The sequence below is a fragment of the Homo sapiens genome, chromosome 18 (assembly GCF_000001405.40).
Source record: "Homo sapiens chromosome 18, GRCh38.p14 Primary Assembly".
In the NCBI taxonomy this organism is placed as follows: domain Eukaryota; kingdom Metazoa; phylum Chordata; class Mammalia; order Primates; family Hominidae; genus Homo; species Homo sapiens.
In genome coordinates this window covers 51,040,748-51,068,020 of record NC_000018.10, presented here as the reverse complement: position 1 = coordinate 51,068,020, position 27,273 = coordinate 51,040,748, and the positions used below count along the sequence as shown (strand labels likewise).

General features: G+C 36.4%; 1 protein-coding gene across 6 annotated transcripts in view; it reads right to left on the bottom strand.

Annotated features, from left to right (window-relative positions):
* Positions 1-27,273, bottom strand: part of SMAD4 (SMAD family member 4) — a 54,830-nt gene that overhangs the window by 17,022 nt on the left and 10,535 nt on the right. For 3 of the 6 annotated variants that reach the window (NR_176265.1, NM_005359.6, NM_001407042.1), the window contains exons 2-10: positions 20,726-21,101; positions 19,161-19,335; positions 18,697-18,726; positions 13,028-13,240; positions 9,777-9,896; positions 9,565-9,681; positions 8,105-8,155; positions 2,415-2,598; positions 834-1,002 (exon numbers count right to left, since the gene is read on the bottom strand). Coding sequence is in view for 4 of the 6 variants with exons in the window: in NM_005359.6 (NP_005350.1) it covers positions 834-1,002; positions 2,415-2,598; positions 8,105-8,155; positions 9,565-9,681; positions 9,777-9,896; positions 13,028-13,240; positions 18,697-18,726; positions 19,161-19,335; positions 20,726-20,974 (1,308 nt within the window). In the remaining 2 variants the exon portion in view is untranslated. Of the gene's footprint in view, positions 1-833; positions 1,003-2,275; positions 2,599-8,104; positions 8,156-9,564; positions 9,682-9,776; positions 9,897-13,027; positions 13,241-16,605; positions 16,668-18,696; positions 18,727-19,160; positions 19,336-20,725; positions 21,102-27,273 lie in introns of those variants that run through there. The other 3 variants (NM_001407041.1, NR_176264.1, NM_001407043.1) reach the window with 3 other exon arrangements.

Genomic DNA, 27,273 nt, shown 5'->3' with positions numbered 1-27,273 from the left:
ATGACACACAATTAAAAATATATTTAGGCTATCTAATTACAACTGCCTTTCTCTTTCAAAAACAGGTTATATTATAAAGTAAAATTCAAACAGGTTGAATATATAACTAGTGAAAAATATTTCAGGCTTATCAGGTTCTTAATTTGAAAAGCTATTAATTTTAGAATTCTCTTCCATAAAATCCTGAAGATTGGCTAAGATGAAAGTCCAGAGTCTGATTCTTACAAATTTCAAGTTACAGGAATACAACTTTGGAGGCTTCACTCAGTATTTTCAAGAGCCTTTGTATTACTCTAAAACATGTAACAGGCCTGGCACAGTGGTTCACACCTGTAATCCCAGCACTTTGGGAGGCCAAGTTGGGCGGATCACTTTAGGTCAGGAGTTCGAGACCAGCCTGGCCAACATGGTGAAACCCCGTCTCTACTAAAAATACAAAAAATTGCCAGGCACAGTAACATGTGCCTGTAATCCCAGCTACTTGGGATGCTGAGGCACGAGAATTGCTTGAACCCAGGAGGCGCAGGTTGCAGTGAGCCGAGATCACGCCACTGCATTCCAGCCTGGGCGACGAGAGCAAGACTCTGTCTCAAAAATAAATAAATAAATAAATAAATAAAATAAAAAACAAAATGTAACAAATTGGCAACGATAAAACTAGATTACTGATAATGTCAATAAATGCCCTCAGAAAATGTGTTTTTTATACTTAAACACAATTTCTTATTATTTAATATATAAAACATTTTTCCATTCCTTCCACCCAGATTTCAATTCTTTTGACAACAAATAGAGCTTTAAGTCTAAAATATTCAAATAAAATTGTAACTAACCTTTATATATGCACTTGGGTAGATCTTATGAACAGCATCTCCAGGTGCACGCCCAGCTTCTCTGTCTAAGTAGTAACTCTGTACAAAGACCGCGTGGTCACTAAGGCACCTGACCCAAACATCACCTTCACCTTTACATTCCAACTGCACACCTTTGCCTATGTGCAACCTTAGGAAGAAAAAAGAAATTACATTTTATCTTGATAAGTATTTTAAATTAAATTTTAGTTCAGATTGTATAGCATGCTTAATATTGAAAAATTAAAAATAAAGATCACATAAAACCAAAAGATAGCTATTAACATTTTTGTATATTTCCTTTTTTCTTTTCCTGTTCATATCTAATAATGATGCACATATTTACAACACTTACTATGTGTCAGGAGCATGTAGTATGAATTCTCATTAAACCCTTACAACTCAACAAGTACTATTATTCTAATTTTTTTAGATAAAGAAACTAAGGCATACTGTCCAAATTGATAGCCACTAGCCACATGTGACTATTTAAATTAAATTAAAACTAATTAGAAATCCGATTAGTCAATCAAGTGAGCTATAATTTAAGTGCTCAATAGTTACATGTGGCTAGTGGCTACCGAACTGGACAGTGCAAATATAAATCATTTTCTTCATCACAGAAAATTCTATTAGGCAGAATGGCTTAGAGGTTAGGTAATTTGCCAAAGTCACATGACAGCAAGTGATAGAGCCAAGATTATGTTCTTTAGCACACACATCCTTAAAAGCCGAGATCATACAGTAGCTAAAATGGAATGTTCCTGTAATATTTCACTGTAAGCATTTCCATTTCATTATATAAACTTTTTTTTTTTTTTTTTTTGAAATGGAGTCTCACTCTGTCACCCAGGCTGGGGTGCAGTGGCACGATCTCAGCTCACTGCAACCTCCACCTCCTGGGTTCAAGCAATTCTCCTGTCTCAGCCTCCTGAGTAGCTGGGATTACAGGTGGACACCACCACATATGGCTAATTTTTGGTAGAGACAGGGTTTCACCATGTTGGCCAGGCTGGTCTCGAACTCCTGACCTCAAGTGATCTGCCTGACTCCGCCTCCCAAAGTGCTGGGATTATAGGTGTGAGCCACCGCACCCAGCCTCATTATATAAACTTTTAAACATTTTAATGACTGTATAAAAAAGGAAAAATTTATCATAATTTACTTAACCATTTCCCTTTTATTACCAATTTTTTTAACATTATAAGTAAAACTTTCAGAAACATGTTCTCATTTAATATTACTTCCTTTCAGTAATTTGTAGAAATGTATGATCACAGAAAATAAAATTTTCAAACTGAATTTCAAAAGGTATACTTACTATTCGAAACATAGAAACCTACTAACATAAAAAAGGCTATCTTTTATCATTATATGTTAAACAACAAAAACACCGACAATTAAGATGGAGTGCTTACAAATTCTGAGTTTTCAACATGACCTTTATTCCTTTATTTATATTTAAGAACACATATAATGTACATGGGAAAACATAACCTTGAATAAAAGACAATGTACTATGCTCAATTTTTTAAAGTAACTATCTGACTATACAATCAATACCTTGCTCTCTCAATGGCTTCTGTCCTGTGGACATTGGAGAGTTGACCCAAACAAAAGCGATCTCCTCCAGAAGGGTCCACGTATCCATCAACAGTAACAATAGGGCAGCTTGAAGGAACCTTAAATGTCTCTCCTACCTGAACATCCATTTCAAAGTAAGCAATGGAACACCAATACTCAGGAGCTATAGGAAATAAATGGGAAAGAACATCCTCCCATGAGAAAGATATAAGGCTTTCACTTGCACTCCACAACACAGTTTTTCCTAAAAGAAAGGGTAAAGGGAGGGGAGATGGAAATGTAATGCACCCAAAACAACTGGATTAAAATAACATAATGCATTAAAAGGTAGGAATTTCCATGTCTTCTATTTTCTAGCTCAGTACTTAGCACTGTTCTTAAAACACTAATTTTTTTTTTTAATTTCCAATTACCACTTATCCTCAAGTTCTAAAAGTCATTTTTTAAAATCTGGAATTTGGTTCTTACCTCAAAGGACCAGGTCAACTGAGAATTTAAAGAACAGAAATAATCAGAATCTAAAATAAATTATTTTACCATGGTATTTCATTTGACTACACATATTCTCTATGTAGTCTCAACTTTTATTTTTTAAAAACACACTGACCCTAAGATGTATTCCAGGGAACTGTCCTTGAATAACATCGACTCATGACATATTTTTATAGATTCCCTAATTGAGAGAAAGTGCATAAGCAAGTCAGCTATCCCATCCCTGAGTTAAGGTTAATTATACTCTAATCACACAGTTGTTGTACACACAGATTCTCAACTGTCTCTTGGGTAGAAGGTCATTTGTCCCACCTATGCCATAGCAAAAGGTATTTTTAGTGAAGTCAGGTCATGTTAACTACCACAATTTTAACTTTGGAGATGTATTTAGTGTACTCATTTGAACAATAATATATAATTTTAAATCACTGGGAAAAAAGAGGTGCTACTCTGGTTTACAAAGACAACTGATCAAGTATTTCTAATTTTTATTTGTAAACAACAATTATTACATCAAGCCCAAATACATAAAAATTATTTGGCTTTCCTGTTTTAACTCATTTAACAGATATCTACAGAGTATCTAGGGATCTTTCTAGGCACTGCATACACAGTAGAAAACAAAACAGCTACAGTCCCTGTTCTCACAGAGGTGCAGGGGCAGACAAATAAGCAAACAAATGAAATAACTCAGATAACAATGAACACTGTGAAGAAAATAAAACAGGGTATGGAACAGCAGATGATTGGGAAGAACACTTCAGACTGGATGGTAGGGGACATCCCATCTGAAAAGATGGGACCTGAATAACCTTTTATCTATGTGAAGACTGAACAGATTTCAAAGAGGAAGCGAAAGCAAAGACCCCAGGGTGGAAATAGGTTCGACATATTTAAAAGAAAGATTTATCTGTATCTCAATAAGCTGTTTATGAACTTTAAACTAGAATTTGAAGCAATAAAACTTTCAACAATCTTACTTTCAACAAAGTTACTTAGAATGACAAAAAAGAAACCCAGATCTTACGGAAAAAAAAAAAATAACCTAAAATGAAGTATGATTGATGCTTAAAATTTTTTTAAAAGAAAACAACTTGTAAAAGCTATGTACCCTAATTACTTTTCAAAATGCTGCCAAGCAATAAAATACTTTCCAATGCAATGAGGAGTTATCAAAACAGATCACATGAAGATTGGATAATTCAAAAACTTAAAAACTCAAATGTTTTGCCATGTCACTCTAATGAACTTGTCACAAAGATAAATATTTGTTTACATATATTTCATTATGCTTAGAACATAAAAACCAGTGATACACTAAGTGTCTTCACTGAGTGTCTTCTTAAAAAGCCAGTTTTGAAGTATTTATGAAATTATTTTCAGCCGGGCATGGTGGCTCATGCCTATAATCCCAGCACTTTGGGAGGCCAAGATGGGCAGATCACTTGAGCCCAGGAGGTCAAGGCCAGCCTGGGCAACATGGTGAAACCGCGTCTCTACGAAAAATAGAAAAATTGGCTGGGCGTGGTTGTGTCCACCTGTAGTCCCAGCTACACGGGAGGCTGAGATGGGAGAATCACCTAAGTCTGGGAGGTCAGGGCTGCAGTGGGCCATGAGAGTGCCACTGCACTCCAGCCCAGGCCACAGAGTGAGACCCCGTCTCAAAAATTTAAAAAAATATATATATATTGTCTATAGAAAATGTAATGTGAAGGTATCACATTATGCTATGGACAAGAAGCTTCAGCAAACAACTGATAGGTACACTGGTTAAACCAAAACTACAGAGATTGTCTAAGACAACAATTACCCAATGTTTTGGTGGCCAAAAAAAACACAACAAAAAACAGTAACAACACTTAAAAGTGGTCTTTACACAATCAGTCCAAATGTTAAATTGTTTTAAACAAGTATTTATAAAGCTAGGTAAAAAGAAAATGAGGGCCAGGCACGGTAGATCACGCCTGTAATCCCAGCACTTTGGGAGGCCGAGGCGGGCAGATCAAGAGGTCAGGAGTTCGAGACCAGCCTGACCAACATAGTGAAACCCCGTCTCTACTAAAAATACAAAAATTAGCCGGGCGTGGTGGCGGGCGCCTATAGTCCCAGCTACTTGGGAGGCTGAGGCAGAATGGTGTGAACCCGGGAGGCAGAGGTTGCAGTGAGCCAAGTCGCGCCACTGCACTCCAGCCTGGGTGACAGAGCGAGACTCCGTCTCAAAAAAAAAAAAAAAAAAAAAAAACAAGTAAAGCCAGATTACTAGACTGTTTAGGGATGTATTCATCACTTTAAAAGGGCCAGGCATGGTGGCTCATGCCTGTAATCCCAGCATTTTGGGAGCCGATGGGGCAGAGATCACTTGAGGCCAAGAGTTCAAGACCAGCCTGGATAACATGGTGAAACCCTATCTCTACTAACAATACAAAAATTAGCCAGGCATGGTGGCGGGTGCCTATAATCCCAGCTACTCGGGAGGCTGAGGCAGGAGAATGGCTTGAACCTGGAGGTGGAGGTTGCAGTGAGCCGAATTGCATGACTGCACTCTAGCCTGGGTGACAGAACAAGAGTTCATCTCAAAATAAATAAATAAAAATTTAAAAAATAAATAAAAGAGCAAAAAAAAAGTGATATCCATAAAAAGCAGGACAGTAGCTACCTCTGGGGAGAAGGAAAGAGGTTTTGACAGAGACAAAATTCATGGGGTAGGAGGGTTTCTGGGATGCCATAATGTTTTAGTTCTCAATCTGTGTAGTGGTTACATGAGTATTGGTTTTAGTGATGTTAGACTATATACTTACTTGTGTTACATACTTTTCTGTATATTACATTTCTCAAAAAAAGAAAGTTTATGAAAAGGCTAGACCCCTTGACCTACAAAAATGTTTAAAATCACAACACACAATGTAACACAGAAAATCCGTTACAGAAGATAATAAATATATATCGTTAAAAGAATGCTTCTGCCCCACTAATATCACCTTTTCCCTAACCAGAACAAGTATTTGCCTCTTAAATCAGCAAAAAGTTTATTAAACTATGACATCTACTGCTAGCCAGCACAGTAACCCTGGTTCTCACACTCTGGTGTCACTGTAATATGGCCTTTTGATCTAGAAATTCTACAAATTTCTTAAACTAAAATATGAGAAAAGTTATAAACACAAAGATGTTCCCTTCTATTTTTTTAAACAGCTAGAAGAAAAATTAAACCAACATAATCAATAACAGAACATTTACACAAAGAAAATTATGTAGACCTATTTAAGAATTTAAGACCCTTTGAATTAATCATTATGGGCGCTGTGTTTATGTTTTAAAAACCTTTACTGGAAATATATACTAAGATATTTACATATAAAACTAATATAGGATTTGCTTCAAAATAATATAGAATGAAGAAAGAGAGTGAGTATGAATGAAACAAGATTGGTCATTACTTGATAATGGCTGAAACTGAGGAATGAGTACAATGGGGGAACTTCCTGTATTATTCCGGTATGCTTAAAATTCTTTATGCTTGACTTATACACAGTGGAGTACTATTCAGCCATAAAAAAAATGCGATTCAGTCACTTGAGACAACATGGATAGAACTGGAGGTATTATGTTAAGTGAAAGAACCCAGGCAAAGAAAGACAAACATCACATGTTCTTATCTGTGGGATCTAAAAATCAAAACAATTGAACCCATAGAGACAGAGAGTAGAAGGATGGTTACCAGAGGCTGGGAAAGGTAGTGGGGGATTGGGGGAAGGTGAGGATGGTTAATAGTACAAAAAGTAGTTAGAATGAATAAGGTCTAATATTTTACAGCACAACAGGGTGACTGTAGCCAATAATTTAATTGTACACTTTAAAATAACTAACAGAGTATAGATTGTAACACAAAAGATAAATGCTTGAAGGGATGTATACCCCATCTTCCATGATGTGATTATCATGCATTATATGCCTGTATCAAAACATCTCATGTGCCCCATAAATATATACATCTCCTATGTACCCACAAAGATCAAAAATAAAATCATTTAAAAATATATTTTTTTAATTTTTCAAGCTTGGTGTGGTGGCTCACGTCTATAATCCCAGCACTTTGGGAGGCTAAGACAGGAGGATCACTTGAGGCTAGGAGTTCGAAACCAGCCTGGACAACATAGCGAGATCCCATCTCGGAAAAAAATAAATAAATAAATAAATAAATAAAATTATTAGCAGGAGGACTGCTTTAGCCCAGGAGTTCGAGACCAGCCTGGGCAACATGGTGAGACCCTGTTATCTACTAAAATACAAACATTAGCCAGGCATGGTGGCCCTTGCCTATAGTCCCAGCTACTCTAGAAGCTGAGGTGAGAGGATCGCTTGAGACTAGGAGGTCAAGGCTGTAGTAATCTGAGATCATGCCACTGCACTCCAGTTTGGGCAACAGAGCCAGGCCCTCTCTCAAAAATAAACAAGTAAAAATAAAAATATAATTCTTCATAATTTTCTTTTAATTAGGAGGAAAATTGAGTTTATAGTTTCCAAAAAATTAAGGTGATTAGCTGAAGTAATATATTTGCATCTTTTTATGCTAAGAAAAACAGATACGAAAGGATGAGAAAAAAATTCAAAATCTATGTTTGTGTTACAAGGGACTTTCAGTATTTTATTTTCAAGTGTTTTCTGTTTTATTACCTCTACAGTTTCAAAAATTATACACAAACTTTGAACTGAAGAAAGCTACTTAGCGATTTACTCTTTTGCATACAATTTAATCAAATAGTTTCTAAATTCCAGTTAACCAGAGATCCTGAATAGAGTGAATTATTTTTCTTTTCGGCATGTACTTAAGATTCTTTCCTGGCTTTTTAAGCTATAGTTTTACAGCTGTTCTATTTTGAAACCTAGTTTTATTCTGCTGCATATTTATGTATTCAATGCTGAAGTCAGCATTTCTGTAATTCTCATTTTAGCTGAAAAGATAGTTCTTTTCTTTTGGGGACAGTTAAACTGAATAAAATATAGACAGTCTATGTGTGACTATATTGACTACTCAAACTGTTGATTAACTCATGTCATGATGAGTATTGTACTCATCTGAGAAGTGACCCCATAATTCCATTAAAGCCTGTGTTTGTGCGTTTCAATCACCACTAAATCAATCTAAATACAGGAAATCAATTTTGAAATACACTTACCAGGATGATTGGAAATGGGAGGCTGGAATGCAAGCTCATTGTGAACAGGCCCTAAAGAAAAGACAACAAAAATTCCATTTTTATTTACTAAAAGTTGTCTAATGCTAAAACTTTCAGTAAATCTTACTTAAATATAACTATTATAGGTTAGGAATTGTTTAAAACAAGCTTATGCAATGTCTAAGAACTTAAAAGTTTACAATAAGCAAATAGTCTTAAACTATTAATACTTTTGTGGATATTTAATAACTAACATTTCAGTGCTATCTGCCAAGTGCTATTATTACACAATTTACACATAATTTTATATCCAACATTTAATACAGATCATAAATGAATTATTCATGTAACGTCCAATACAGTACAATTTATAATGCAATGTATAATAATAAACTGTTAGGTCTATTCTAAAAACAAGTGCTTATGTTAATTAAGGATGTTTATTTAATGGAATCATAGCTAACATAATTGAAAACTGGTAATGTGTTAAAACACTGTGCTAAACACCTCACATAAATTATTACGTTTACTTCTTACGAACACCCCTTGAGGTAGATACTACTATTATTACTCTTGAGGCTTAATGAGGTGAAATAACTTGTCAATGGTCACACAGCCTGTTAAAGGTCCAAACCCAGCACCCTTCAACACTATGACGGCCTAGGCAGCCATTAAAAATTACATTCTCTTAAGAAATGGAAAAAATAGTAACATAACTGAAAAGAAGCAAGATATATACAATACACATAGAGTAGGAGCCCCTGTCAATTTACATATACCTGTTTATATGACTGGAAGGAAAATAACAAAATATTAGAAGTGGCTGTTTTTGAGTAGCAGGATTCAGGGTAATTTTGCTTTTCTTATTTATACTTTTCTATATTTTCTAAGTTTTCTTTGGTACTATTAATATTATAATGAGAAGAAAGGGATTTAATGTATATAAGAGTTATACTCTCGATTTTACTAAGCCATATGAACAATGCTCCTATTCTACCTGAAACTACATGTTATCTGTAGGGTATTCCTCCCAATCATGCCAGCACAGAGTTATCTATAGATTCAACATTATCCAAAGTACACTGAATACTACGCTGAGGGAAACCTTGAGAACTTAGCACTCAAAGGGTTTCAATCCATTATGCGTGGATATACAAGACACAGATGAGATCTAAGAACATATACAAAGCAAACAAACAAATGAATGGAAATCAATGTGATGTTAATGAAACATTAGCAACAGAGAAATAAATGTATTTAGCAAACATCACTCCTCTAAAATAAAAAGGTAGGATAACTATGAAAAATAATACTGTTTACAAAAAATACTGAAAAGCACTATTTAATGAAACAAAATCACAGGATGAATAAAAGATGTAAAAACATTTTTAAAAAACAGAAAACAAAGCCCTACCAAAAAAAAAAAAAAAATAGCCCTTACAACAAAAACAAGAGCTTACAGTAATGTCCGGGATGGGGCGGCATAGGCGGGTGGTGCTGAAGATGGCCGTTTTGGTGGTGAGGCAAATTAGGTGTGTATGGTGCAGTCCTACTTCCAGTCCAGGTGGTAGTGCTGTCTAAAAATTAAGGCCCACATGGGTTAATTTGCTTTTATAAAGGCTGCCTACTTTTTTCTCAACTATTTAAAAGATTTTTTAAAGTATGTACATACTATGATGGTAAGTAGCTGGCTGACCAGTAAATCCATTCTGCTGCTGTCCTGGCTGAGGCCCTGATGCTATCTGCAACAGTCCTTCACTATGGCTGCCCCCCAGTATACTGGCAGGCTGACCTAGAGGAACAAGAAGACATTAACATGGTACATTCATAGATGTCATCTTATGATTTCATATACTAAATGAAGGACCAATTTTATCTGATAATGCACAACTATAAAGATGGGCAAAAAGTGTAACTCACCCATGGCCTATCAGGTAAAAAACCTACAGTCATCTATAAAGGCAAACTTTAACTTGAGGAAGCTCAAAATTATTCCATTTTAGGTAATGTCTAACTAATTGTAGTGGCTTATTTCTTCACAAACATATTTCAAATGCCAGCAAAACACCACTGTACGTCTGGCCTATCATATTAACTTCTTCAGAGGTATGTCAGTTCATCCTGGCCACTCCATCCACCTCTCTCTCTGGACCTTTCTGATTAGGACCCCAAAAATCCAGGCTCAAGAAAATGTTGAAAACTGAAAAATTAATCACTATCAGCACTGATACTAGTAATGGCAGAATGCTAGGGTTTGACAGAGAAAAGCAGAGCAGAAAATTATTTTAAATAGGATGTGATAGTGAAGATGAGGAAGTTAAAAAGATCTAGCTCTGCTGTCCAATCAATATACCATTTACTGGTTAAAAACAAACAAAAAAACTATCAGTCTACTTTCAAATTTTTTCAAGAGCTTTTATAAACCAAGAATCATTTCTTTTCAAGAACACCATCATATTCCCAGATGTACAAGAAATTAATTGCCCTCTCTGTATGTAATATACCAAGAGAATCAAGCTTCTCTTGGCTTGTATTCTATTCAAAAACCATCCTATGATATTGCTTACTGTCCTACATTTTTAAGGCTTTTTTTTTAAAGTGGAAATTTGGTTTCTTAAAGAGCATTAATTAACTCGACTGTTAATCCTATTTGGAAAGCACTAAAGTTATAATTATTTATAACTGGCATCACCTCATTCTTTTCTAAATGGGAGTATAATCAGATGGAAGAGAGTAACATGTCACCATTGCTCAAAGTATCAAAGAAAAGGAATATTTTTCTTTTCTTTACATATCACATTTCCTTAAAGCTAAGAATTACAAAACCAAAAGCTAAAGAGAATATTTCAATACTCCCCAAATTATTTATCTGTAAAAATGACATTTTAGCAACCTCCCTTCCTACTCATCCCCCAGATTCTGCAAGTTATCTTTAAAGGTTAATTATGGTTTTGTTCATATTTTTAACAATTCTACAGGCAATACTCTTAGCTAACTTACAAAAATTGTCATTAACTACACAGGATAAATTATTTTAATTTACAGGTATTTAAAAGGAAATTCTTAAAATATTCAGGTGTCAAAAGAACATAAATTGTAAAGTGACTCACTGTAGTTATCCATACTGAATACTTCCCTTATACAATTCTAAGTATGTAAAATAAAGTTAAACAATACGACTAAATCAGCTCACGTAAAATAGCCTTTCAAATCTTCTATTTTAGTTCAACTTCTTTTCATCAATATACTTTTTGAGACCTAAGGGAACCCTCTTTTTTTTTTTTTTTTTTTTTTTTGGAGATGGAGTCTCGCTGTGTCGCCCAGGCTGGAGTGCAGTGACTCGCTCTCTGCTCACTGCAAGCTCCGCCTCCCGGGTTCACGCCATTTCTCCTGCCTCAGCCCCCGGAGCAGCTGGGACTACAGGCGCATGCCACCACATAAGGGAACATTTTGACACAAGTTCTAAAACTTACAGTATTTACGGTATTCGATTATTAAAATCTACCCAATAAATACCAGGATAAAATTAGCTGCATTTCATTTCTATCACTTTTTCTAATCTTTGAATAGGATTCAACCTCAGGAAACAACACAGTCAAAATGAAGTCACTTTAGTAAGCATTGACAAAGGCACAGAAATTCAATCTCCAGATAATATAAACAGAAGTAGGTAGCTGTGCTCTAGCACTAATCTACGTTCAAGTGGCTATAATGTACCTTCTTTTATTTTCTATCACTACCCACTGTTTGTCAACCATATTCCTAATTTGGTAAATAAAAAGTAGACAGATAATAGAAGCACCAAGTGATTAAGGAACTGGGTTCTCAAGTGCTTAACCTATATGACCCATTTAGAATATGCTGCCTATAGTGAGACTGTCATCTCTTAGATAGCAAACCAAAAACATGTTGCTTTGAAGTGGTGTAATGAATTAAAGGGGAAATTCTGGTATACTTCACTTGAAAACTCACAATTACAGAAATCAGTCCCCCATTTATTCCAAAGATCAAAATTTCTATGTTGAATCTAATCTGATAGTAAAGCAAATACAATAATGGTACTTTCGGTAGCAACTAACACAGTATTAGCCCAGAGCTGTCAAAAATCTATTCTGATGTGGGTTTACATAAATTCCTTTAGCAACTGCATGCAACTAACACCATACACATGCCAAGACAATGCTCTATGATTAATTGAAAAAAAAAAAATGAAAAAAAAGCTACTTCATTTGCCAAGCAGCAAACTATCAAACCTTTGGTTACTGTGAAAATAAGTAACAGAACCAGGTCATATGATCATGCCCCCAAAAACCTGAACCTAGCAGCCCCTCTCCCTCCTATGACATGGCAGAAAAGAAGGATCTTTCTGAAACACTTTTTTTTTTTAATTACACATATATTTTAAAAAGAGATATAGAAGTTAGCTTATATCAAAATTGACTTAATTAATGTCTATCTTGAGCAATATATAACAAATTTGTCAAGATCCCTTTGCACAGTGAGAAAATCAGACAACTACTATAAGGTAATATTGTCCCAGAAAAACCAAAATAAGAACACCGCATTAAAAGAAAGGTTGCAATTCCATTAACACAGACCTTCATAAACATCTTGGATCAAAACTACTTGTTAATTATTTAAATATTTCTCCAAAATATATCTGGGAGCTTAAGAGGCTACTTACTGCTACATGTAATAGTAAAGTATAAATCAGATCATTAATTTAAATCAATATTATAATCAAAGCCATTACTTAAATTCCAAGTGATTGTGCATACCTGTTTAATACCTGTTTACCTATGAAAGATACTACAGTTACTTTTAATGTTTACTTACTTGGAGTTTCCCCCCAAGTGACTACACATAAATAAGCAATGATTAGGAAAACTCAACTTGCTGACTACATCTGATTCTAGAACTCACTTGTGGAAGCCACAGGAATGTTGGGAAAGTTGGCAGTGCTGGTAGCATTAGACTCAGATGGGGCTAACAGAGCTGGGGTGCTGTATGTCTCTGTCGATGCACGATTACTTGGTGGATGCTGGATGGTTTGAATTGAATGTCCTTCAGTGGACAACGATGGCTGTCCCTCAAAGTCATGCACATATTCATCCTTCACCATCATACTTGATGGAGCTATATAGAAAATTAAACATATTTTAAATTTTTATAAGCTTCTATTCCCAGAAAAAAAAATCTTATTAGCAAGTAATATAATAACACCTAAAATCAATTACAGTGTAAATTACTAACCTTAATTCAGAATTTTTTCATATTATTTTAAAAGCATACTACTTTACCAGCAAAAGTCATTTATTCAGCGGTAACAGCATGAGATATATTTTATCAATCAATCTGACTCTCAAATTTGAAGCTAGTCTATGTTTCAACAGCCTCCAGCAACAATCCTAAAAAGGTACTCCTCAGTTTCTTGATAAACCTAGAAGAATAATCACCTAAATACATAAGGCAGGCAAAAACCGAATGGCTGGAAAATGTGTCCAGCTGAGAAAAACAATTATTCGGTCTAAATAGAGACTGAGTATTTAACTATATCTTTTTGTTAATTTCACACTGTGGAGATATGAGTGGGATCTGATAGATATCCAATCCCAGGATCTAGAATTATTGTTAAGCAACATATTCTTTAAAAATGAAGTGTACTGAATGTAATGTCCCCTATAGGTTTAGAACCAAACGGAAAAATTATAAATGAAAAGTCAAACTGAAATTTCCCTCTAGAAACCCAACCCAAATAAGAGTATTTGATTAATATATGGTGTGAGAAAACTCAGTAATCAACATCTTTCACCTATGTGATTACACCTTCATAAGCAAAGCTAGATTCCAGCTGATACAGCATAACATCTTTCCATTAACCAACCAGGAAATAGTTAGCTCTGCTGTATGACAAAAAGAAAACTGAAACTGAACTGCATTAACAATGTTAATTCTCTGCCCAGAACCTTCCCATTTGTTTTTAGGTTATTGTTTTAAGGTTTGCTTTTTACCTTTAGCAACCAATCCTTTATTGCTTCTAAACTAACACTACTCCAGAACTTAACAATCCACTGAACTAACAGTAGGTTCTCTTCTTAAAGCAGTCAATTAGTAGACCACAAAAAGACATTCCCTTTTTCATTAAGAACCAGCATATCATTTCCCTTATCTTTCCCTATGTCAACCTTTGAAAAAAAATCTACTACATGTAAATATCAGTTAAGTTACATGGGTACTTTTTATTAAATTGAGACTAGTTTAAGGCAGTAATAATCATCCATTGTGCAAGTTTCTATGTACAACCTCTTAAAAACCTCTTAAGAAGTATGTTCATGCATCAAAAGTCATGAAGATGATATTCTGAAGACCTATAAATCCCATTCCAAAGTTCCTCTTTAGAAATTTTATGGAAACAAAAAGATAATCAAAAGGATGCGTAACAAATTATGTATCAATAAAAAAAACTGAACACAACCACTCATCAACATTGGCCAAGTTATAAAAATAATAAAAAGAAAAAAATTGTTTGGGGCACAAAATTGGTATGTCTACACTTATTCAGCCTTATATTACACCCTTCAACAAAGTTCAATGATTTTCTTCATATAAATCCTGACATCTCTAATTAATTCCTGGACATCTTAGGTTTTTTTTGTTGTTATAATGACTGGGATCTTTTTACCAACTTACTGGTTTTGCTAGCTGATTTGAGGATACAACTGGTCAACTTGGTACTCACTGCTTTTGCTTTTCAGATGACTCTTCAGTTTAATCAGCAATCATAACATCTTTATGTACCAACTGTATTCTGCTTTTAAACAGTTATGACCCATAAATCTTTCTTGCCCTAAATATGCTGGCTAAACTTCCCAAATGTAAGTTTGAAACTTCTACTGGTCTACAGATCTCTTTAACCCCAGATAATCCATAATAAATGTTTCTCAGGTAAAACTAAAGGTATCAACAAGGATAGAAGTCTGCAATATATTTTTGCCAAGAGAATCAAAGCAAGTTACAAAGCACTATTGTACACTATGATCATATGCATGTTTAAAAAATCATATACTGTAAGTAAAAAACCAAGGTCCAGAACAGTATGCATAGTATACGTTTTGTGTAAGAAAGGAGGTATGTATTTTTTGCATATAGAAACCCTGGAAGGAAACACCAGAAACTAAAAAAAGTGATTACCTGAGGTAGGGGGGAATGGGGGCAGGGGTGGGAGCACTTCTTTTCACTGTATACCTTTTTATAGTATTTTGATTTATGGACCATGTATTGCCTATTCAAAAAAATAAAATTAAAAAAACATATAGTATATATTTTTTAAAGTCCAGAAAAACAGATACCAAACTGTTAAATATTTCTCTTTATGGGCTAGCATTCAACAAATTCATTCACTGAAAAAATATTTCTTGAGCACTTCTGTTCCAGGTACTGTTCTAGTACTTGGGATATATCCATAAACAAAACAAATATCCCTGCTGTCATGGAGTTTGCAGTCTTTTGTAATATTTTTCCATTGTTTAAATATCTAATAGCAAGCACACATTACTCCGGCTCCTCCTAGTTGCCTATTCTTGGGCAAGTTCCTTCACCTCTCCAGGTAGCAGTCCCTTCATCTGTTAAAGTATAAATAATCCCACCTCCCATGTAGAAGTATCATGAGAATGATGACACAATACTCAGAAATCATTTAGCTCAGTCTGACCTGACACACGAGTACCCAGTGTTAGCTATTATTATTTAACCATATTTTTAGAGTAGTTATACATATATATAGTGATTATAAAATGTTCTAAGAGGGCTGGGTGCAGTGGCTCATGCCTGTAATCCCAGCACTTTGGGAGGCTGAGACGGGTGGATCGCCTGAGGTCAGGAGTTCGAGACCAGCCGGCCAACATGGTGAAACCCCATCTCTACTAAAAATACAAACAAAAAAAAATGCTGGGCATGGTGGCGGGCACCTGTAATCCCAGCTACTCAGGAGGCTGAGGCAGGAGAATCGCTTGAACTCGGGAGGCGGAGGTTGCAGTGAGCCGAAATCGCACCATTGTACTCCAGCCTGGGCAACAAGAGCGAAACTCCGTCTCAAAAAAGAAAAAAAAAATGTTCTAAGAGGGTCAAAGAATATATTCTCTATAGGTGACAAAAAAGCTGAAACCACTGGGCCCACCTTAGGTCTGTGTTCTTTATCATCACCAGCAACCAGGACACAGCACCTATCTCATGGTATTATCACTCTCTTATTTACTTTTTCTCTCCTCCACTAGAGTATAAGCTCACTTGAGTAGACAAAACATACCTTATTATCTAAGCATCCCTGGAACCTAACACAGTACCAGGCAATACATGCTTATTAAATACTTGTTAAAATGAATACACAGGTCAACGTGGTCATAGAAAGTTTCATGAAAGGTAAAAGATAGGCTGGAAATGATTACCACAAGACTTTAACTCAAAAATGAAGGAACTGTCCCATTTTCTTAACTTTTAGTTACCTGCTCTTGTATCATTCCTTTGTCCAAATCTAGAAGGAGCTGTGAGAAATACCAGTTGTTTTCTGAGGAAATAAGACACTGAAGACAGCCTTTACAAAACCACCACTAGGGGGATCTACAAGGCTGAATACAGCCCTACAGTCACTATAGAAAGGCTATCAACCCGTACAATCCCATCAATAACAGTGCATCAATAATTTTAGAATAGGGGAGGTGTGTGATGAGCACTCAGAATTTGAACCCCCTCACAAACAGCCCCATAGAGAGATTCAGACACACTTATCATTGCAGTCTCCCAACCTTTAATACCCACTGAGACAAACGTTTTCTCCAAAAACATGGATGGAAAATGGTGAAGATATGAAACGTGTTTACTTTCAAAAAAAAAAAGAAGTGATACAATATCAATGTCTGCGTAGCAAAGAAGCAGAGTTTTCACCAATCTTAAAGCAACCCTTCCCAGACCACCACAACAGCTCCTAATAATAAACCCACACTTGTCAGAAACCTACTAATCACTAACAAGCACCACAAGGCAGTGAGTCTTCCTCCATTACCAGTGATATGGGAGAAAGGTGGAAAAAAAAAAACAAGTAGAATTGCATACTCTTCCTAAATTTTGGTTAAGGTCACCTAGTATTTCTGACCCACCTCTAAAATTCTACAAACAAAAAAGGTGCTAAACTACTACTAACTGCCCTCCAGAACAAGAGCACACCTTTCTAAGATGACAGTGGTTCCTTTTTTTTTTTTTTTTGAGACAGAGTCTCGCTTTGTCAACCAGGCTGGAGTGCAGTGCCACTATCTCGGCTCACTGCAACCTCTGCCTCCCGGGTTCACACCATTCTCCTGCCTCAGCTTCCCAAGTAGCTGGGACTACAGGCACCCACCACCACGTCCGGCTAATTTTGTATGTTTTTAGTAGAGACGGGGTTTCACTGTGTTAGCCAGGATGGTCTCGATCTCCTGACCTCGTGATCCGCCCTCCTCGGCCTCCCAAAGTGCTGCGATTACAGGAGTGAGCCACCGTGCCCAGCCTCCCCCCACTTTTTTTTTTTTTGAGACAGTTTCGCTCGTTGCCCAGGCTGGAGTGCAATGGCGTGATCTCAGCTCACTGCAACCTCCACCTCCCGGGTTCAAGCGATTCTCCTGCCTCAGCCTCCTGAGTAGCTGGGATTACAGGCACCCGCCACCATGCCTGGCTAATTTTTTATATTTTTAGTAAAGACAGGGTTTCACCATGTTGGCCAGGCTGGTGTCAAACTCCTGACCTCAGGTGATCCACCCGCTTAAGCCTCCCAAAGTACTGGGATTACAGGTGTGAACCACCGTGCCTGGCTGACAGTGGTTCTTTATAAGAGTTTCTCTGCAAATTAATTAGTTCTTACAGAAATTTTAGTTTATTAAGTTCTAAGTAACAGAGCTAAAGATTTAATAAAACTCCATTCTCAAATATTACAATAAAAAACAAAAACACCCCCATTCACATTTCATTTTCTCACCTTAAAACACTTTTTCTTTTTAAAAATACAATTAGGTAAGCTGTGATGGGCATATGCTTTAAAGTAGCCTTGATTTATTTACTCAAAATGTAACAAGACTGAAAAAATACAAAAGAGTGCAATTTTAAACCATTCTCAACATTATCATTCATAAAAATGTTAGGCTGAAATGAAGGAAAATTAGAATACTGGTATTTTTAAAGGATATGTTATATGTGATTCCAAATTACCAAATATTCTGGGTATTTAACATCCATTTAAACTGGCTCTGTGAGATTTTCTTCAAAAATAGGTCTTAACTCAAAAAATATTCTTTATATTTGTTTTTGGTGCATTCCTCTATCATATTTTTTTACAGTACTTTAGTTCATAAATTGCAGTTCAAATACAAAGAGCAATAGCCAATTTAAATCCAGTTTTAAATCCAGTTTTAAATGCCCCTAACCTCAAAATCTACATTTCCAAAGCAGTAAGTTATTTTCTTGTTAATGTTACTGCCTGCCGCTCACACAAACTAATTCTAGGTCAACAAAAAAACAGAGAGGATAGGACAAAACAAAGAGAAAGTAGTAAGAAACAGATTACCTACCATTACTCTGCAGTGTTAATCCTGAGAGATCTTAATTGTTTAAAGGGGAAAACAAATGAAACATTAATCATTACAATGAAAGTATTTTCCATTTAAAAACAGAGAATGTAAATTTAAACCAAAGATTACAAAAGTTCATGAACCATTTCAATTCAGAAGTAGCATAAACGCTATCTAACAATACATAACTAAGTATTCAAATTTATAATGCTTTCCATCTTATTTCTCAAAAACAATGTTCTAAAGGGGCAAAATATCAACTACAATACTCGGTTTTAGCAGTCAAAATATAAGTTTGTTCCTAAATTCAAATTTAAATACGTATATTAAAAATGTCTGATTCTTTAACCTTATTTAAAGTCGCGGGCTATCTTCCAAATTTATAATTTAACTTACAAAAATTGAAACACTATTGAGATCCTTTTCCCTTTATGTTTCTTAGGATGAAAGCAAAGTCTACTTACCAATTCCAGGTGATACAACTCGTTCGTAGTGATATGGATTCACACAGACACTATCACATTTTAAGTCAAACGCATACTGACAATATTTAACATGTTTTAGTTCATTTTTGTGAAGATCAGGCCACCTCCAGAGACGGGCATAGATCACATGAGGAAATCCTTTCCGACCAGCCACCTAGAAAAATAAACGACCATTTATTCATGTGTCACATTATGCAAGACACTTTTATATATTCTGATTTAATCCTCACAATCCTACCAACTCAGTATTACAATCCCCATTTCATAAATAAGAAAACTAAAATTCACAATAACTAACTTGGCCATGTCATACATCAGACCTAGAATTTAAACCTTGGTATAATTTCAAGGCCTGTGCTCAGGTTTTAAAAATGTAAAAAGTGACTGGGCATGGTGGCTCACACCTGTAATCCTATCACTTTGGGAGGCCAAGGCAGGAGGATCGCTTGAGCCCAGGAGTTCAAGACCAGCCTGGACAACATGGCAAGACCCTTGTCTCCACAAATAATAAAAAATTACCCAGGCATGGTGGTATGTGCCTGTAGTCCTAGCTACTCAGGAGGCTAAGGCAGGAGAACTGCATAAGCCCAGTAGGTCAAGGCTGCAGTGAGCCATGTTTTGCACCACTGCACTCCAGCTTGGGCAAAAGTAAGACCATGTCTCAAAAAAATAAAATAAAATAAATAAATATGCAAAAAGACTGTGTTGCAGAAACTATGTGTAAAGTCTTGAAATAAAACTTTAAAATCTACGACAAAATTTCTGTAAGATTTATTTAAGCAAGGGAGCTGTATTATGAAGTTCTACCTGAAAAATGTGACCAATGAAACATTTGCTAACAGTGAAACATATCAGATTTCTAAATTATAAAAGGACTAAGTGTAATCCGGTTGTTTAAATGTACATACAATATCAAAAAAGAAAACAACACGACTGGGCACAGTGGCTCACGCCTGTAATGCCAGAATTCTGGAAGGCTGAGGCGGGTGGATCACCTGAGGTCAGCGGTTCAAGACCAGCCTGACCAACATGGTGAAACCCCATCTCTACTAAAAATACAAAAATTAGCCAGGCATGGTTGCACTTGCCTGTAGTCCCAGCTACTTAGGAGGCTGAGGCAGGAGGATTGCTTGAACCCAAGAGGTGGAGGTTGCAGTGGGCCAAGATCACGCCACTGTACTCCAGCCTGGGTGACAGAGCAAGACTCCGTCTAGGAAAAAAAAAAAAAAGAAAACAACAGGCTACAAAAATGAATACCAAAGTGCTAAAGGTAGTTCTTGCGAAGTGTGGGTTTTCTGCTTTTTATTTTTATTTTCCAAATTTTCTCCATTGAACATTTTTCTGAGTAGAACATTAAAAAACTTTAAGATTTTATCTTTTGCATATTCTTCCAGAAATTCCCATAATGCATATTTGTACAGGATGCACAGTATCTGAAGAGATGGAGCACAAATTAAATTACCCTGTAGTAGCTTGAAAGGAAACGTAGCAAGTTTTTAAATCTGCCACCATAGAGGGTATAGAAAAACTCTTATAAGACTAACCTGAAGCCTCCCATCCAATGTTCTCTGTATGGTAACACATTTACTAGGATGAGCTCCATTTGTAGTTATAGCTGTTATTAAAGAATCCAATTCATCTTTTTTCTCCTTCAGCTTCTTTACCAAACTTTCAATTGCTCTTTTTGCAAATGTTTCACTCTCTCCACCTTGTCTATGGCACATCAAACTATGCACAATGCTCAGACAGGCATCATTACTTGTTGGTGTATTCGTAATAGACATATTGTCCATTTGTTCAAGTTTTTCCTTTTAAATCAAATATGTCTCCAATTTCTGAAGCAATTTTGATCCTTTGGAAACAGTGAAAAACAACAGCTAACGTTGCAAGGAAAATTGTTAGACATGTATTCAGGATAACCTAAAAAAGAAAAAAAAAAAAGACACACATCAGAACACATTTTACGAAGTAGATCTGACTACTTGGGAAAAGATGAAATTGCTCTGGTTAAGTCAGAGATTCAATGCACATAATTAAAATTTGATGCTCAGAGTTGAAAATTACTTAAAATTCTTACAAAATATTAGCCATTAAAAATAATTTTTAAAAATAAAATTACTTAATTAAAATGTCACTGTTTTTGACATTCCAAAAATATTAAAGTTAGGTCTTCTCATTATGATAGTGGCATGCTCAATCAAGTCTTACTGACTTTACTAGTCACCCTAAAGGAAAATCTTACCAGCACTTTTTTAAAGGATTACTTATGAGGATCAGCACTAGTTAAACCTAAAAGTCTATTACTAATATTTATGAAAAATTTACCATCGCCTGGTATGAAATTCTACCTAGCAGTTAACACTCACCTTTGTTAAAAGAGACCAATTAAAAAAAAAAAAAAACCCCAATTTAGAAATGAACAAAAGGATTCTAAAGGACACTTCTCCAAAGACGATGGCCAATAAGCACATGAAAGATGCTCGACATTAGACATTATGGAAATGAAAATCAAAACCACAATGAGCTGCTACTTCATACCTACTGAGATGGATATATCAAAAAGACAATAGTAAGTATTGAAGAAGCCGAGAAATTGGACCCTCACTCCTTGGTGCTGGGATTACAAAATGGCACAGGTACTTTGGAAAACAGTCTGGTATTAATACAAAATGTTAAACAGAGTAAATATGACCCAGCAATTCTACTCTTCACACTTCTACTTGAGGGAAATGAAAACCCATGTCCACACAAACCTGTACATGAATGTTCATAGCAGCGTTGTTCATAATGGATACAACTCAAATGTCCATCAACTGATGAATGCATAGATAAAATTCCATACAACGAAATATTATTCAACCATAAAAAAGAATAAAGTACTAACAAATTATAACATGGATAAGCCTCGAAAACACATGCTAAGTGAAAGAAGTCAGTGACAAAAGGTCACACATTATATAATCCCATTTATATGAAATATACAGAATAGGCAAATCCACAGAGACAGAAAGTAAATCAGTGGTTGCCAGGGCCTGGGAGGAAGGGGAATGAGGAATGACTGCTAATGGGTATGGTGTTTCTTTGTTATAATGAAAAAGTCCTAAAAATTGATAATGGTGATGGTTGCACAACTCTGACTATAGTAAAAACCACTGAATTGTACACTTTCAAATAGTGAATTTTATGGTATGGAAATTATATCTCAATACAGCTGTTCTTTAAAGAGATCACTAAATTCCTCAAAAGATTTTACCTGTAAAAGCAGCAGGGTAAATTATTTTCAAAAAAATTAAAATAACAAAAACTGAAGATTAATAAAGAATCCATTCAACAGGTAGAAAACTAACTTATCTGATCCCAAGACCCCACAGAGAATAGGAAAAGGCCATTAGCTTAAGAATAAAGAAGATAAAGCAGGACTGGAGCCTGTACTTTGTGTGCTTGTTTGTATTTTATTTGTTCACTGAAGTTGCATTCCAGACTTATCTTGCTTTCATTTTCTTTTACTGCATACTTGAATCCTTAAAGTATCCTCCCACAAGATTAATAAAACTCATCATTCTACCAAAATCTCTTCCTCTTCTGAAGACCTTTGTTAAAGTATCAATTCCACTCAATTACCTAGCCTTGGGAAGCTTTGCAAAAGATCTCTGACGTGCCTCTTTCCTTCACTATCCCTACATTCCGTTACAGTTACAAGATTCTTTACCTCAGTCTTTTCTATCTCTCCTCCCATTCTCCCTGCCACTGTTGTAGTTTTGAGCCTCTTCAGAATGTACATCAATCACCTGATATTGAAGACTTGCTCCTCCCTCTGTTGTTATCTCTTTCACATAAATGTCTGTCTCAACTCATAAACCCCATGCAGAGAAGCAGTTTTTCATATGTCTTAGAGCACTTGCCCACATTAATACACATGCTGAAGGTACACTTTCCAAATAACCAAAGATAACCTGCATGGGAGATTTTGGAGTCAAGAGATTTGAATTAGAATTCCAGTTTTCATAGTAGTCAGAAAATGAAGTTACTCTGAATCTGGATTAAAAGGAGGGTATACAGAAGCTCAAAGGAAAAATTCTGCATAACGTGTCTGATACATAGTGTTCAGTAAAAAAGCTACTGTTGAAATATTAACATGCTTAATTGTGGCCAGGCACGGTGGCTCACACCTGTAATCCCAGCACTTTGGGAGGCCGACGCAGGTGGATCGCTTGAGCCCAGGAGTTTGAGACCAGCCTGGGCAACACGGCAAAACCTGATCTTTACTCAAAATAAAAAAATTAACTGGGTGTGGTGGCACACGCCTGTTGTCCTAGCTACGCGGGGAGCTGAGACTGGAAGATCACCTGAGCCTTGGGAGGTCAAGGCCTTGGTGAGCTGTGATTGTGCCACTGCACTACAGCCTGGGTGACACAGTGAGACCCTATCTCAAAAAAATAATAATAGTTTTACAAGAAGATTTTTCCTAAAATGCATTACGCATTTTTCTGCATTTTCTATTAAAATCTGTCTAAAAAAATGTAGGAGGTTCGCCAGGCATGGTAGTGTGGGCTTGTAGTCCCAGCTCCTCAGGAGGCTGAGGCAGGAGGACTGCTTGAGCTCAGGAGTTGAAGGCTGCTGTGAGTTATGATTGTGCCACTGCACCCCAGCCTGGGCAACAGAGTGAGACTCAGTAGAAAGGAAAGGAATCGGGAAAGAGGGAAAAGGAAAGATACGTTAAATTACAATTTAACAATTACGATTACAATTTAATTGTAAATTACATGTGTAAATTACAATGTAACACATTAGTTATTTGATTACATATCTGTCTCACATTGTTGCCACAAATTAGAAATCCAAGAAAACAGCAACAACACTCTCATTTTAGAAATTCCCAGCACCATGCACAGTTCCTGACATATACCAGGCAAGTGTTTCTGGACTGACCATAGCTTTTTATTCTGTGGAATTGTCTTACAACAAATTAGAAGAGTGCAGACACTTTTGAAGTCATTTTCTGATATTATATTCCAAAAGATGTGTATGAATCTACAATGCAATTAAAATGTTTAAGTGTTAACTATTTCACCACAATCTCACCATCAAATGTCATCATTTCTAAAATTTATGCTATGCTGGGGCCTTAACGGTATCTCAAAGTTTGTTTTAATACCAAGTTGCTTTGAATACAAATGATAATGACCTCGCTTTCTTAAACAAACAGCTTTCTCATCTCTCTCTTTATTGTATTCCTATGACCACAAGTGCCTGAAACATAATTAAAAGTTATGCATATAAAAAATAATACTAGCAGGAATAAAGAGATGTATTCCTACATTAAATGGTTCTAGATTATGGAAGTATGGTAGGCAAGAGCATAATATCGATATAAATAAAATTATATATTCTAATTAAAGGTCTAGCCGCATGACTGAATGTTAACATCTCTCTCAATTCTCTCATCTATAAAATGGAAACACCTGCCCTGACAACTTCACAAATTTATTGTGGTAATTAGATGCAACAACGTACATAAAAGAAATGTGGGAAACATAAATTGACCAATTCAACAAACACTGTATATACAAAGCACTACAGATACAAAAACAGGAAGCCCATAGTAAGAAAGTGGGTCTGGACTCTCTCAGACCAACATCCCATTTTTTTTCCAACAAATAATTTATATCACCACCTTAGCTTTACTGAAACAAAATTCTAAACTACTTAAACATATTTTGAAAATTTAACAATGCCCTAACTATAACAAAAAGGAGGAAAAGCTTAATATATAATGTGTACTTCCACCTATAAATACTCAGGCATGCCAACTAAGTTAGAATGTATAATAAAGAAGTTAGATGCTAGCACTTATATACAGAATCATTACAAATGTGACAGCTACAAATTCAGACCTTCCAAGACAAACGTGTTATACTGGCAACTCAAATAGCACAATGGCACTGCAGTCAGTAACATGGATTTTCCCAAATGGTGAACTCTTAAACAACTTGAACTAAGAAAATGAATTAACAAGAGGCTGGGGCAGGAGGACTGCTTGAGCCCAGGAGACCAAGGCTACGGTGAGCTATGACTGAGCCACTGCACTCCAGCCCAAGTGACAGAGTAAGATTTGGTCTCAAAAATAAAAAACAAAACAACCAAGTCCGGGTACAGTGGCTCATGCCTGTAATCCCAGCACTTTAAGAGGCCGACATGGTTGGATCACTTAAGCTCAGGACCAGCCTGGCAACAAAGGCACGGTTGCCAGGACCAGCCTGGCAACAAAGTGAGACCTCCTCTCTACAAAAAATACAAAAAATTAGTGGGGCATGGTGGCACATGCCTATAGTCCCAGCTACTCAGAAGGCTGAGGTGGGAGGACGGCTTGAGCCTGGGAGGCAGAGGTTGCAGTGAGCCAAGATCACGCCACTGCACTCCAGCCTGGGTAACAGAGCCTGAAGTAAGGGAGGGAGGCAGGGAGGGAGGAAGGAAAAAGAAAGAAAACAGAGAGAAAGAGAGAGGGAGAGAGGGAGGGAGGGAGGGAGGGAGGGAGGGAAGGAGGGAGGGAGGCAGGCAGGCAAGAAAAAAATGAATTAAAAGAAATTTAACTCCTGGCAAAGTGAATATATATTATAGAGTTAGGTTCTGGGCTAATTATATTTTCCTCCTACATGAATTTCTGGGGCATCTGAAAGTCTTGTGGGATGCAAGATAATTATTCGCTGTCTCTCACATTGCAGGATGGCATCCCTGGCCACCAATCCACCAAACCCATCCACAAATTTCTACAACATCCCTTAAAGAGCAGTACTTACTCCACTGAGAACTACTAATCTGGAAGACCCAAACATATTATTACATAAGTAATAAATGCTAAAAGAAGTAGGTATAAAGTGATTTGGGACTATAAATGAGGGAGCATGGAAAGTTCATAGGTAACCTAGGTCTTGGCACAACGTATCAGTCAGGATTGGCTAGTCTATGCTGCAGTGACAACCAACCCCCAAAAGATCAGTAGCTTAAAACAAAAGCTTATTTTCTGCTTAGGATATAATACACATTCATCACAGATCAACTGGGGGCACTGCTGTCATCGCTCAGAAATTAGACTGACAAAGGCTCCATTTCTACATATGTCCTTAAATGGCAGGAGAAGGGATAGGACAGCTCATATATCTTCTTTTAAAGGCTACCACTTCTGCTCATGTTTGACTGGCCAAAGTCATAAGGCCATGCCAGGAGTTCTCAACCAGGGGCAACTTTGTCCCTCAGGGGACACTTGGCAACATCTGGAGGCAATATATGGTCACAACTGGATACTACTGGGCATCTGGTGGCTAAAGGCCATGGTTGCTGCTAAATACCCTGCAATGCACTGGACAACACGCAAAATAAATTATCCAGCCTAAAATGTCAACAGTGCCAATGCAAGAAACTCTGGGCCATGCCTAATTTCAAGGTAGGGATGAGGGAGACAAAGAAGCACAATACTACCATGTGCCAGGGGACAGCCATCAGAATATTGGTAGAATAGTATTAATGGATTACCACATACGAATAAGAATTTGCCAGGCTGAAGGAAAATGATGAGGAAAAGCAGAGACGGATAAGAGCTTTGTCTAGAGTAGGTTCATGGTAGAAAGAGGAGAAAAAACAGCATTAGATTTGTATTAGAAAACTTCAGTGAGAGCCTGGAGAACAGCTTTGGAAAAGGAAATAGAAAACCAGTTAGGAAACAATTACCAGAAAAGCGGTAAGATCCTAGACTGGGGCATGGGCAATGGGCCAAGGAGGGGAGGGGGAAATCAGTGAGCTATTTCTAGGTAGAAAAGACTGGAGTCTTTAACCAACTGAAATATGAAGGGTGAAAAAGGGGGGACAAATAAAAGACGACCCATTTCTAGATAACTCAATGATTAAAAAATTTAAAAGCAGGTATGTAACAAATTCAGCTTTAGATATCTTGAGTTTGAAGAGATGAGAAGTTAGGCCTATCTGAAAGGCACTAACATATACAGGTATTAGATGCAGTCAAGAGTTATGAGAGGTAAAGAGTTAGCAAGAAGAGACAGCTGATTCTTGTTATCTGCCTGTTGTTTTTCCTCTAGCC